This window comes from Homo sapiens, chromosome X (assembly GCF_000001405.40).
Source record: "Homo sapiens chromosome X, GRCh38.p14 Primary Assembly".
Lineage (NCBI taxonomy): Eukaryota > Metazoa > Chordata > Mammalia > Primates > Hominidae > Homo > Homo sapiens.
The window spans coordinates 32,812,210-32,826,882 of NC_000023.11; the positions used below are offsets into that span (position 1 = coordinate 32,812,210).

The following is a 14,673-nucleotide window of genomic DNA, read 5'->3' on the forward strand; positions in this document are numbered from 1 at the left end:
TAGAATATTTGAATCTATTAATGGACTCCTGTTTAAGAGCTCATGCTATGCAAAAACAAAAAAACAAAATAACGAAAAAAACAAAAAAAAAGTTACAAAGGTAGTTTAGCTGTTATTTTTCTAAAACTGTAATTCAAAATTGGCCAGGCGCAGTGGCTCCCGCCTATACTCCCAGCACTTTGGGAGGCCGAGACGGGTCAATCACCTGAGGCCAGGATTTCGAGACCAGCCTGGACAACATGGTAAAACCCCGACACTACTAAAAATACAAAAATTAGCAGGGCATGGTGGCTCGTGCCTATAGTCCCAGCTACTCAGGAGGCTGAGGCAGTAGAATCGCTTGAACCTGGGAAGTGGAGGTTGCAGTGAGCCAAGGTTGGCCCACTGCGCTCTAGCCTGTGCAACAGAGCGAGACTCCGTCTCAAAAAAATACATAAATAAAGGTATAGGTTTATTGGTTTCTTCTTAATTGCTTCTACTCTAGTTAATACACCAGAATTTTTACAATTATTAGGAAATCGAATCCCTCCATATTTTCCAATACCCCTAACAGCTAACAAGCTTATGGAAACTAGCTTATTTACAAATTGGATAATGCCTTTGTTATGAAAAATATATAAAAAAATTTAAAAATTGTAGAATATTTAGGGGACTTTTAAGTTCACTATGCGCACTCTGCCTTATCTTCATTTTTTTCTGTAGGCAATGGGAGTAAAAAAAGGACATAGGTGGGAACATATGAGAAACTAGTTTTCTCATCTATGGCATAGTATACAAGGTTAAATTGAGTATGATGAGAAAAAAGAGCATTGCTTATGCATTCGTGCTGTATTCCCTTGTCTTACCTTCCCCATTTCCTTGGCCACTAACTAACCAACTGAGTGTGTGGATATCTTATCTAAGTCATATAATTTATTTGAGCTTTGGCATTCTCATTCAAAAAGCATTGAACCAAAAGGCCTTTGAGGTCACGTCTAGCATTAAAAATGAATTGAATTCTTTTATACTATTAAAATTAATTAACATTTTAAATATCTATGACTTTCAAATGCATAAAAATTGTAAAACTAACCAACTATGAAGGAAACCCACACAGCATTTAATGTTAACCTGGACCATAATTTATTGACTTGCAACCAAGGATCACCAGATTTTTAATTAAATCAACACCATGATTAGGATAGTGTAAATTTAAATCCTAGCTCTACCACATGTTAGCCAAACAGTTTTAGGTAAATTACGTAACCTCTCTATGACTCAATTTATCTATTTGTGAGATGGGTAAAATGACAGCATCTACGTCATGGAACTTGATTGAATATTTTACCTAGAACGGTGTCTACAAAATAATAATTGTTTAAAAACATTCGTTTCTATTATTTTGCTGTAATGTTAATTACATTTATATAAGAAGAGTGATGTATTTTCAATTTACAGACTCAAGCCAAAAACACCTATCTTTACAGAACTGATATAAATGTTACAAATACTACTGATGCAAACAGAATGTAATCCGAAATGGGAGGTGGAGAAGAGGCGAGAGTAAGAATGTGTGATGATTTTCTCGTTTTTCATATTGGTCAAAAGTTCCTTTCTAAACTTGGTAAAAATTTAAAATGAGGTATACTCATACCATTTAATGTAATAAAAGCAAAAATTACAACTATAAAATGATTATAAGTAATAAAATTAGGAAATACCTGGGGATGAAACATAATATGGCTGGTTTTCATACTATGGAGTAAATACCTATACTGTTAGAAATTAGTTTGTCAACAAGTAGAAACATTATCACACATATTATTATAACCAGCAGGAACCAAAGTACAAGTAGCTGACAGTGACTGCATCTAAGAATTGAAATAAGGTAAGTTAAGATTGGGGTCATGAAGACACATTGTGTTTCTGTTTTCCCTTTGCTCCTGATTCTAGTGTTCATTTGCTTCTAATTTGCTGTGGTAATACACTAAAATAAGGATTTAGGAAGACAATTGTAACTTTATAGTTATTGTAATTTTATCTGCATCTTTTGTACATATTTCTAAGCAATTATCATTGGGTTTTAACACAAAAAGTAGAAATCTGGCTTCCTTTGAAGGGTATTGTAGTGGACTTTGCGTTTTATCACACAACTTTTAACTGCCATGACACTTAGTCAATCCTTATGCTCTATATTAACTACATGTCTTTGTTCTGTATAGTTGAACCACTCAATTATTGAAATGAGGGCACCTCATGACATTCCTAATTGTGCCAACGACAATCGCTATGGAACAGAGAGTTCAACCATTTTTTTCTTTAGATAAAGAATATGAACATCTGCCAAATACAAAAAGAAGGGGGAGATGATTCATGAAAGAACATTAAACAACTGTGAAGAACCTCTTGAAAAGTAACCATGTAATACATAAAGAGAGTTACTGATGATTCATCCAATATGACAGGAGAGAGTATATAAATGAGGATATTTTGACAGAGAAAGAGTGGGTCAGGGACAGATAAAACAGGGCAATTTGGGTATGTTTACTGTATTACCTACAAATGTATTCAGAAATCATTAAATAGAATATTAACAAATATAGAGTGGGAACATGCTTGCAGGATTGAAGTCTTCCACTTGAAGGGAAAAACGTTAGAGAGCCAACAAGGACCACATAACCTGATCCTTGATATTTTTATTCATCTGCAAATGTGTACATGAACAGCAAAATCAATATTTTCGGGCCCTTAGTGTTAAGCATGTGGCTGCATAAATGAGCATTGACTTAAAACACAGACAGAATGTCTCTATCCCTTCTCATCTAACTGTATTGAGGCTGTGGAAACATTTTCTTCTGTCATACGAGAAACAATGTGTTAACGCTGCTTAACGTGACATTTGAATGCATGTCTGCCTCTGTTCTAAATCAGGTTGCTGAGTAATTCACCTGGAAACCCAGTCGGGATGGGGTTAATTAAATCCAGCTGGAGCAAGACACCTGACAAAGATGCTTATTTGAAATGTGTTTGCTCTTGGACTGAGCTTTACCTTAGAGAAAATTAATATTCTTAGCTTTTCTAGAAGCAGGATTGGCATAGGAAAATGGTAGAGTGGTCAAAAAAAAAAAAAAATCAAAGTGAGAAAACATAACTTGCACTGAAAATTAGGCAAGATGCAGTCCAGTGACATTTTAAACAGTTAATTAGGCAATGCATTTAGCCCTGGGTTGGGTAAATGAAACGGGTAACAGGAAGACCAAAATAAAGTGACTGTAGTCCCTCTCTCTCAAATACACACACACAAGCATATATATATATATATATATATATATACACACACACACACACATATATATACATATATAGAGTATAAATGGTGTAGTATATATGGCATATAGTATATATTGTATCTCTAAGTGTATGTGTACATATACATATGTATTTCCTACACTGCTTTGCTTTTTCTTGAACTGTTATTAATTCATTTACTGAACTTTACACAAGAAAAGCAAAAAAAATCTTTTTCATCTTAAGAAATATAATGTTGAATGGAATATAGTTAAGGACTTTGGTTCACTGTATTACAGTGAATTCTTTTTATTAAAATCCACAAAAGATCTCTCTCTTGCTTTATAGCAATTGATTTGCTGTTCCAGTGCAATTGTTTCTGTTGGTATTCAAAACATTGTGTCATATAATTAATTGTGTTCTGCTCTTTGTCTTGGTTACTAAAAATGCTCTGAGCATCTTATGACCCTGAACTAGAACAAAGTATACAGGGCTTTATGGTGTTTGATATCAAAGTGTGTATCTGATAAGACAGATGTTTCTTTCTCCACACTACGTATCTGATGATGGTAATTAATTTAACTACAACTACTCACATGAGATCTAGTATCATTTTTACCTGTATAGTTTAGGCTTATACAAACACATTATCTGTATAAAAAGACCAACACCATTCTCGGCAAAGTTAGAATACAACCTGGATTTACTGGGATTCCCAGTGTCAAACATATTGATACTCTCCCCCTCCACTATAACCACTTTCACGCTCCGCTAATGTTAATGTTTCAACAACTGAATTATATGTATCCCATAGAACACTGGAAAATATTCTTAATTAGTTCATTCCAATGGAACGTTAGATCAATGTGGTCAATGTACATAACATGTTGTAAAGTAGGACATGATCTGGAACCATACTGGGGAAAAATATGTCATCAGAGTCTAAATCACCACTTTTACAAGTTATTTAATGTCTCAGTAATCTTCTTACCTATGACTATGGATGAGAGCATTCAAAGCCAGGCCATCAGACCAGCTGGTGGTGAAGTTGATTACATTAACCTGTGGATAATTACGAGTTGATTGTCGGACCCAGCTCAGGAGAATCTTTTCACTGTTGGTTTGTTGCAATCCAGCCATGATATTTTTCATTACATTTTTGACCTACATGTGGAAATAAATTTTCATAAGAAAATGCATTCCTTGAGCAAGAACCATGCAAACTTAAATATGAATGTCCTTGATCTTCAGTGATAAATAGAAATTTTAGGGCCAATTAGTAATGAGACATAATAGATTCTACCAGAAGTTAAGTCTATTCTCAAAGGCTAGGAGTCTATTCTGATTCATTGGTATCTATGCCATACCATTTACTGAATGTGTTCACTATTACTCCTGGATTCTGCCATATTAGACCCAACATTTACTGTTTATAGAATTGCTCACCTTCTAGCTTTCAATGAACAAGCTAGAGAAGACAGTGTATAAAACATTAGACTTATTGTTAACCAAGGACTTAAGATATAAAAGCGCTTTTTGGATAGGAGGAATACTATAGATAATTGTTTTTTAAAGTATATGTTCAAATTTTGCCTTTGCTATTAATTGTGGTAATTGGACAAGTTGCTTAACCTCTTCTAGGCCTCATTTCTGTGTATCTTACATGCAAGGTTAGTGTAAGATCAAAGTACAAAATATGGTCAGATAAAACCCCTGATTTCATACCATCATTTAACGCAAGCTATATTTATTGGCTGAACTGAAAAGAAGACAGAAATGTTTGCCTACCTAAAATAAAGAAAAAAAACAACAAAGGAAGGAAATATTTATCCCTAAGAGGTGTACATATGTAGCCTTGGTTCTATTTTCATTACTTGGTTTCCATGTATTTGATTGTCTCATAGGCTTCGTGCATGTGCAGATGTTATTCAACAGATTATCAAGTTTAATTCTTCTGAGTCATCTGATGCAGAAATCCATTCTAAGCATTTTTTCTAAGTTTCATGAATGCAGTGACGCTTCATAGAAAAAACTGTCTACATCTTTTATTAAAGAATTATTATTTATTAAAGACTGCTTTTTAAATATAAGCCCCTTATGAGATGCTGGAAGAAGACATCTATGTAAAAGTGATCAGTCTGTACCACTAAGCACTTTCCTTCTGGGAAGGTTAAGGTTCATATACTATCAACATTTGATCAGATGATGAATATTTATTGTGCATTCTAAATATGACAATTTTATTTTTTCATCCATATAGAAGTTAACAAATGCCTTTGGGGTAAATGCATATTTTAACATCTCCAATGTTAGTCATCTTTTTATTAAAAAGTAAATGCAAATTTTAGGATATACTACTAAATCTCATTTTAACATACTTTTAAAAGATTTGAGATGATGCTTTGTAAACACAGTAACGATTCGGAGATATGAAATCTTTGCATGTATCTGTCACAATCCCTTGATAACTAAGCCTATTATTTAGGAGTGGATTATCCAAGTTTTCCTAATTCCTTCTTGACCTACTTATTTAGTCAGTTACTCAGTGAATACAGGTCAAATAATTACGTAATTTGTCTCATATTCTAAAATTATAAATTGCTCAACCTTTATGTACAGTGACTGCAGGAGGTGTATTTTGTGTCCTGTGCTAAATTACGGTTGGAATCAGCAGATAGTGGCTTAATGGTGGTAATGGATTTGCAATAATCAAGCAATCCTCCAATGATGAATGTGATTCATTTGTGAAATGCTTGGCCAGTCTGCCCTCTATGTGCATAACGTTAAAGGACAACAAAGTATTCAATCCAAAACTCCTTTATAGCATCATTATGTCACTAATTCAGCTTATCAGCCTCAGCCTCGCTGTTATTGCTTCTACTTAGGTGCAAATGTTGCTCAGACAAAAAAAAATAATAAAGGGCAATGTATGATAATCATGTCTCCTTTTCCTACATAAAAGGCAGTTATCAAAAAATCATTGAGCTGGTCCCCAAAGGTGAGCCTGTAAACAGAAAACTGTCCCGTCCTCAGGTCTCACTGTCTCTAAAGGAGGCTCAATTTAAACAGATGTATTTGTGTGTGTGCGCGCATACAACTATAAATCAATTTTTAAAAGGAAAAAAGTTGAAATGTCTTTGAGCAGTGATTTTTAAAAATGACTAGGAGTTAACTGGGCCAAGAAGGCATGATGGACATGGAGGTGCACCACCAAGATTGACCTTCAAGGAAGGGCTTGTTGCTCCAGCTGTGGTCAGGCAGCTTCTAGTTGTTAGTTCTCTCAGGTACCACCTGAGTTGCAGAGTCCTGCCAGCCAATGTCACACCCTCTCTAGGGCAACCCACTACTATTGACTGATGAAGGGGCAGAGTATAAACACTCAGCCATTTTAACCCCATTTGAGACAACTCTGAGGGGTCATCCTAGCTGCAAGTTGTCTATGGGGTTTGAATAAGCGTGTCATAGGGTCTACGTCACAGCTCTAGTTCTTCCTCTTTCCACTCCTGTCACCTCTGCCCTTCTACAGGTGTTTTTTTTTTTTTTTTTTTTTCCAGGGCATGGCTTAATAAACATGCTGCCTGCCAAACTCAACTCCGAAGTCTACTCCCCAGAACCCAGACTGTGATTAAAAGAAGTTGCAGCAGAGGAATAGAAATGAAGAGGGTAGGAATAATCTTATATGGTAAGGATAGTTTCTGTGAAGCTCTGCAGAAGAGCAGAGCAAGAACTGTCTTGCACAGAAGTGACTTGGTAGGCAGGAATTTACAGGGATGGCTTTCAGCAGTGCGAACGTCATCATTCTCCTGTAATTGCAAATTGTATCAATAATATGAACATTCTAAAGTGAATTAGCGTTGCCATTAAGTACATCCCTTGAATTGTCCAGTAAAAGTATGGACCTGACTTCTGATAGCTCACCACTGTTAGCAAGATTTGTTATTACAACCAGCTGGTTGCCAGAGCCAAGTTTAGCACTCCGAAAAAAAAAGAATTGCACTTAAGAAGGAAGAAAAAGATGCCAAACACATGTTATATGCTTTGCAATTTTGTTCAAACCTGCCTATGTTACAAAATATGCGTTACTGTTTTAGGCTAGCAATTTTATTTGAGATGGACAGTAGAAAAACAGTAATAGGAAAACAGAGTTTGCATTCCTGAGTTTTCACAAGTTCAATGAGAAGTCCTCCATGGCACTATTAATAACATAGTATGTTGCATTAGAAAAAGGGGCCAACATGGTTCTATCTGTAAATGCCGCTCGTTATCTGATAGATCTAGAATGTACATTAAGTTGACCAAAATGTCCTTTAATCTTTGCTGAAATTCAAGGGCTTCTACCATTTAATAGGAAGAAAATATGTAATGTTGGTGTAAAAAAAAAAAAAAAAAAGAAAAACACATTTTTAGATTCACTGGATTATGATGAACACTGAGCAAGATAATTTTTCAAAGTGTGCTTAATAGTTTTAGAACAGGGCAGTGTGATATAAGAGAGATGAGATAAGTAAGCAGAGGCTGGGAAGAGTCTACAGTCTTGCAGTCTCAAGGATATGGTGATTCAAGGGCATAAATGAAAAACAACAGGCTATAAGAGAGGTCTCAGACAAAGAAAGATTTAAAAAGCATTCCTTCTGATATTCCTCATTGCAAAAGCGCCTCCACATGCTAATAATGAAAAATGGGCTGGGTGCGGTGGCTCACGCCTGTAATCCAAACACTTTGGGAGGCCGAGACGGGCGGATCACAAGGTCAGGAGATCGAGACCATCCTGGCTAACACGGTGAAACCCCATCTCTACTGAACAAAATACAAAAAATTAGCCGGGCGTGGTGGCGGGCGCCTGTAGTCCCAGCTACTTGGGAGGCTGAGGCAAGAGAATGGCATGAACCCAGGAGGCGGAGCTTGCAGTGAGCAGAGATCGCGCCACTGCACTCCAGCCTGGGTGACAGAGCGAGACTCTGTCTCAAAAATAAAAAATAAAAAAATAATAATAAATGAACAACTTGCAAGCAAGTGAAGAAATTATCAGACATAATAGTCTTGAAAGCTTATCTTGGACTAGTTCAGATGGAGTTGGAAAGGGCTTCAGGATATTTTTAAAAATGGTAAGATCATATAAGAAGTAGTATAAACAATAAATACAGTTCAGAGTGCCTTTTGGAGCTCTGTGCATGCTTGAGTTCTTCTGCTGGCTTTGTCAAAACTTACATCTGTCTTACGCAAAGCGGGATCTGCAAACTGGATTCACTCTAGGAATTATTTGTTACTATGCCATAAGATAAAGTCAACAATTCAGAGTGCATCAAGAAACTTATGTAGCGATTTTACAGAGTACCATTTATGTCTAATGTATTTAATAATAAAGGAGGAAGCATGGGTGTTGGGCATCTTATTTTTGTAACGCTTTGGTTTTATTCTATCTTACATACAATGGATTAGGGGAAAAGTGTTCCTTCCTCAAGATATTTTGAGAAGTACTGAGCAACATATGAAAAGCAGTTTGGGGAGAGATGCGGTATGTTGCTTGCTGGTTCTATTTGACACCATCACTATATGGAACGGGCTGAAAATCGGCCAACTTGGGCTCACTTAAGGCTCCTATGAGCTATTCTTTGTTGCCAGCACATATTAATTCCCGCTCTTTCTCTTCCCCTCTCCCCGCTTACTGTTGTGAAGTAGCATTAAGCCTGTTCAGAGAATTTGGAATAAAAATATATGGGGGCCAATTAGGAGAGCAACATGGCTGCTGAATTTAATAGGTACTCTTTGTGTCTACTCACTATTTGACTCTGAGCAAGAGCAATCTACAATTCAAGTTAAAATTCAAGCCGGGCGCAGTGGCTCATGCCTGCAATCCCAGCACTTTGGGAGGCCGAGGCAGGAGGATCACGAGGTCAGGAGATCGAGACCATCCTGGCTAACACGGTGAAACCCCGTCTCTACTAAAAATACAAAAAAAAATTAGCCGGGCGTGGTGGGGGGGCGCCTGTAGTCCCAGCTACTCGGGAGGCTGAGGCAGGAGAATGGCGTGAATCCGGGAGGCGGAGCTTGCAGTGAGCCGAGATCGCGCCACTGCACTCCAGCCTGGGCGACAGAGCAAGACTCTGTCTCAAAATAAAAATAAAAAAAAATAAAAATAAAAAATAAAAAAATTCAAGTTTACCGAATGAAGCCATGATATCTGCTACAATAGGGCTGGATCTGAACTATTACCCTCATTGCAAGAAGCCAGACACAAAAGAACATGTATTATATTGATATAAAATATCCAAAAAGGCAAATACATATGGACAGAAATAGATTGACAATTGCCTAGGGCTGGGGTGGGAGTGAAAAATGACTGTAAATGGAGAAGAAACTTCTTTTTAAGGTGGTGGAAAAGTGCCAAAATTAGATCGCTATGATGGCTATATAACTCTGTAAATATCCTGCAAATTTTAATGAACGTGGTGGGGGGGAGTTATTCATCCCTCAAAATAGTTTGAGAGGCTACCAAGAACCAGAACTAAACCAGATTGATGCAAATTGAATTTTACACTTAGAATGAGTACATTGATGGTCTAACAATTACATTTCAAAAACGCTGATTTATAAAAAAGTAATCCCGACCAGTAAAAACAGCAGTCATTTCTCAGCCTCCAAATTTTTTAAATGAGTGGAAAACTTTAAGCAATCAATACAAGTCATATGATACACCTCAAATAAAAGTGGTATACTACACTGAGTGCCTTGCAGATATTCTCCCACTTAATCGTGATAAGAAATACATACACATTTATTTTTATTTTTACTCTTTTGATAGTGAAGGGACCATGGCCCAGAACAGGGGTGGCAATATACCAAATGCCACTAAGATGGTAACCGTGGAAGTTTAAATTCAAGTTCATGTTGGTATATATATATACACATACATATTTATACATATGTGTATAACGAGTTACTATTACGTATATATATACAATGAGTGGAAAATATTAGTGGATATAAGTTCATGTATGATTATGTATACATATTATGATTATACTATTATGTATATGTATACAATGAGTGGATAATATTAGTGGATATAAGTTCATGTTGGTCTTATATATACATATATAATGTGTGGATATGAGTGTGTATATATATACATATATAATGTGTGGATATGAGTGTGTGTATATACACACATGCATATTGTATATATGTGTGTATATATAGACACATTATATATATACGCATATATACTACACACACACACACACGGGTGTGTGTCTGTATCTTTTCCACAAATCCTTCAACCCATTTTGCAGAGGTCAAATAGACAGTCGGAAGACCCTATGCTCAGGTGACTTAAAAATAATTTCCAAATCACATTATGGAGTTTGTATGTATTACACACATTTATTGATAGAGATACCCATATTCTACTAATCTTTTATTGGCAATAATTTATGTTAAGAATACCCAAGACTGAGAAAGCCTCATTCCTTTGGTAGTGATTAAAATAAAACATACTAAATTAACTTATAGACAAGTTATAGAACATACATTTGTGAAAAAAATTACTCACCTATGATTGGGACTTTGTATTTTTACCTTATACTTACTCAATGAAATAAAATTTTGAAAAATATTCCTGTAAATGTACCAGAACCTATTTTATACCGTGATGATCCTTAACATTTCAGACGACATGGTAGTGTCAATTTAAAAAGCAGCACTATGGAGCAGGGTTTGTTATTGTTAGAAATACACATTTGTTTCACACGTCAAGGGTAAAAATTAAAAAACAAGATTAATGTTACCCAAAAGGAAACCATTCATCAGGATTCTTACCTGCCAGTGGAGGATTATATTCCAAATCAAACCAAGAGTCAGTTTATGATTTCCATCTACGATGTCAGTACTTCCAATATTCACTAAATCAACCTGTTAAAGAAAGGGGTAAAACATTTGAAGGTAAGAGACCAAATGCCTAGTTGCAATAATAATAATAATAAAAACGTGAAGGTAATTGCATTTAGCTATTTTCAGAGACTTAGCATTGAAGCTTTTTGAAAATAATCTAAAAATTAAACAAAATGCATGTGTAAAATCACTTTCCATAACAAACAAGCACCCCAAATATATTTACTTTCAGCACATGAATAGATTACTGCAGATTAAAGAGGTCAACTGGAGTATCTCCAAATAAAATGTCATAAAGTATGTTTAAAATTAAGATATGCTTTCTAGTATGGAATTACAACTCAGAAAAATTCACCAGTACTTCCACCTAGCTCCAAGGAGTGCCATTATAATTAAGGCTGACTGCATTTTAGTAAAACGCCTCTGTTTTAGAATGAATGTTAGGTCTCTAATAAACAATGGAGCAAACTGCCAGCTCTCTTATCTCTGTCTAGGACTGTGTTTGGAAATGAAAATCTGGCAGGGTTTTATTTGCCTTAATCAAGGCAAATCTCTGTGTCTCCTGTCCTTCACACTCCTCAAATGTTTAAGGTGGAGTAAAGTTAAACACAAGCATCTGAAAAGCAAGCATATGAAAAGATGTTCAATGTTTTTAGCCAATAGAGGAATGCAAATTGTAACCACAATAATGTATCACTGCACATTTATCATAATGGTTAAAATTAAAAAATAGTGCCATAAAATGCTGGTGAGGGTGTGGAGAAACTGGATGACTCAACCCCTGCTAGTGGAAACTCAAATGATATAGCCACTTTGGAAAACAGTCTGGCAGTTTCTCACAAAACTGAACATGTACTTATTATACAATCTGGTAATTGGGCTCTTGAGCATTTATCTCAAGGAAATGAAAACACATGTGTACACAAAAACCTGCACCTAAGTGTTCATACTACGTTTATTTGTAATAGCCCCAAACTGGGAACCCAGATGCCCTCAGGGGTAGATAAACAAACCATAGTACAGCCACACCATGGAATAACACTCATCAATGAAAAGAACAAACTATTGATACATGCAGCAAATTGGATGAATTTCATGGGCATTATGCTAAGTGGGGAAAAAGTCATTCTGAAAGGGTAGCATACTGTATGAATCCGTATCTATGAGAGTCTTGAAAAGACAAAGTTACAGAAATAGAGAACAGAATAGCAGTTGGCAGAGGTCAGGAATGGGAGTAAGATGTGGGGTAGCTGAATGTTCTTATAAAAGGGCAATATGAGGGACCCTTGTAATGGTGGAACTGTTCTGCATATTGACTCTGATGGTGGATTTACAAACCTACACACGTAATAATGTTGCATAGAACTAAATACACACATATGCATGCACACATACACATAAATATGAGTAAAGCTGGGAAAATCTGAATACTATTGGTGGTTTTATGAATGTTGACATCTTGGTCATGATATCGTATTTTAGTTTTATAAGATGTTACTACATCGAAGGGGAGATTGATCATTCAAGAATAAGAAAGCATCATCATCTGCATCATCATCTGGGGATTCCTCATATGGCAGTAGAGGAGAGAAATTCCTCCATAAGGAAAAGCCACTATGAATTTATCTATTGATTCATTGATTCACTAACTCAACAAGTACCTTTTGGCTATCTGCCAGGCAATGAAGTAATAAGAGCATGTAAAAGTAAAAACCTTCTGCTTTCATGAAACTTAATTCTAGTGATAGTGACAATCAGATGATATAGCACTAAAGACTCAAGCAGTTAAGCAGAGAATATGCTATTTTTAGGAAACATACTCACTCATACTGCGGGAAGCACTGCTGGTAGATACGTTTTGGGTTGCCATGGACCTGACTCTGGGGAGACTTAGATCAAGTAATAGGAACTTAGATTCCAGTAACCCCTTATCCACTGTCATAAGACTTGTCACTGTGTAAGCAGGAAGATAGTTCCTCCATTTCCTTGTCCTCATAAAAGGTCTCATAAGGTCCAATTTCCACTATATTCAGGTACTGGGCTCAGACCTGATAAAGGAAAGTAAGGTACTACCCCCCCAGTGTCAAAAAGTTCACAACAGAAGGTCACATAATAAAAAAGTATCTACCATTAGGCTCTAGCAATTCTACCTCTATGTTTATAACCAAAATAATTAAAAACAGAGATTAAGATATTGGTAGACCAATTATCATAGTAACATTATTCACAATAGCCAAAATGTGAGAACACCCAAATGTCCATCTACAGATAAATGGATAAACAAAATGTGGTATGTACATACAACGGAATATTTTCAGCCTTAAAAAGGAATGAAATTCTGATACAAACTACAACATAAATGAACCTTGGAAACATATGCTAAGTGAAATAAGCAAGACATAAAATGACAAATATTGTATGATTCTACTTATATGAGGTACCTAAAATAGCCAAATTCATAGAGAAAAAATGGAAGTTATTAAAGGCTAGGGGAGGTGAAAATGGAGAGTAATCGTTTAATCAGTATGAATTCAACTTGGGATGATGAAATCATTCTAGAGATGGATAGCGGTGATGACTACCCAACAACAGAAATATACTTAAAGCCACTGAATTATACACTAAAAAAATAGAAAAAATGATACCTCAAACCCTATCTAGGGCAATGAACCTGAATAGACATTTCTCAAAAGAAGACAAACCAACGGCCAGCACATAAATGAAATAATGTTGAACATCACTAATCATCAGAGAAATGCAAATTAAAACTACAATGAAATATTACATCACACAGAATGGCTATTATCAAAAAGACAAAAGGTAAGTTGTGGCAAAGATGTGGAGAAAAAGGAATCTTTGCACAGTGTTGGTGGAAATGTAAATTATTGTAGTCATGAAAAACAGTATGGAGGTTTCTCAAAAAATTACAAATAAAACTACCATATAATTCAGGAATTCTACTGCTGGGTATATATTCCAAAGGAAACAAATCAATATGTCAAAGAAATAACTGCACTTCAATGTATATTGTAGTGCTACTCAAAATAGCGAAGATAGGAAATCAACTTAAGTGTCCATCAGTAGATGAAAGAATAAAGAAAATGCAGGTATACAGACCTACACACACACACACTGGAATACTACTCGGACTTAAAAAGCAGAGAATCCTCTCATTTGCAATGAAATTAATGAATCTAGAGTACGTTACGTCAAATGACATAAGCCAGGCACAGAAAGACAAACATTACATCATGTCACTTGTATATGAAATTTTAAAATGTTGAGCTCATAGAATTGAGAGTAAAATGTTGGTTAGCAGGGGATAGAGCTTGGAGGAGGAGGGTTAGGCAGATGTTGGTCAAATGATACTAAATTACATTTAATAGGAATAAATTCAAGAGATCTACTGTACAACATGCTGACTTTGGTTAATAACAATATTGTATTTTGAAAATTGCTAAGAGAATAGATTTTAAGTGTCCTCAACCCCAAATGATAAACATATAAGTTAATGTA

The 14,673-nt window shown here is 35.7% G+C and overlaps 1 protein-coding gene across 17 annotated transcripts in view; it reads right to left on the reverse strand.

Moving 5' to 3' along the window:
- DMD (dystrophin) overlaps window positions 1-14,673 on the reverse strand; it is a 2,220,167-nt gene that overhangs the window by 1,692,988 nt on the left and 512,506 nt on the right. For all 17 annotated transcript variants that reach the window (XM_006724469.4, NM_000109.4, XM_011545467.2 and 14 more), the window contains 2 exon segments: window positions 11,086-11,178; window positions 4,259-4,431 (listed from right to left, as the gene is read on the reverse strand). In XM_006724469.4, the coding sequence (XP_006724532.1) occupies window positions 4,259-4,431; window positions 11,086-11,178 (266 nt within the window).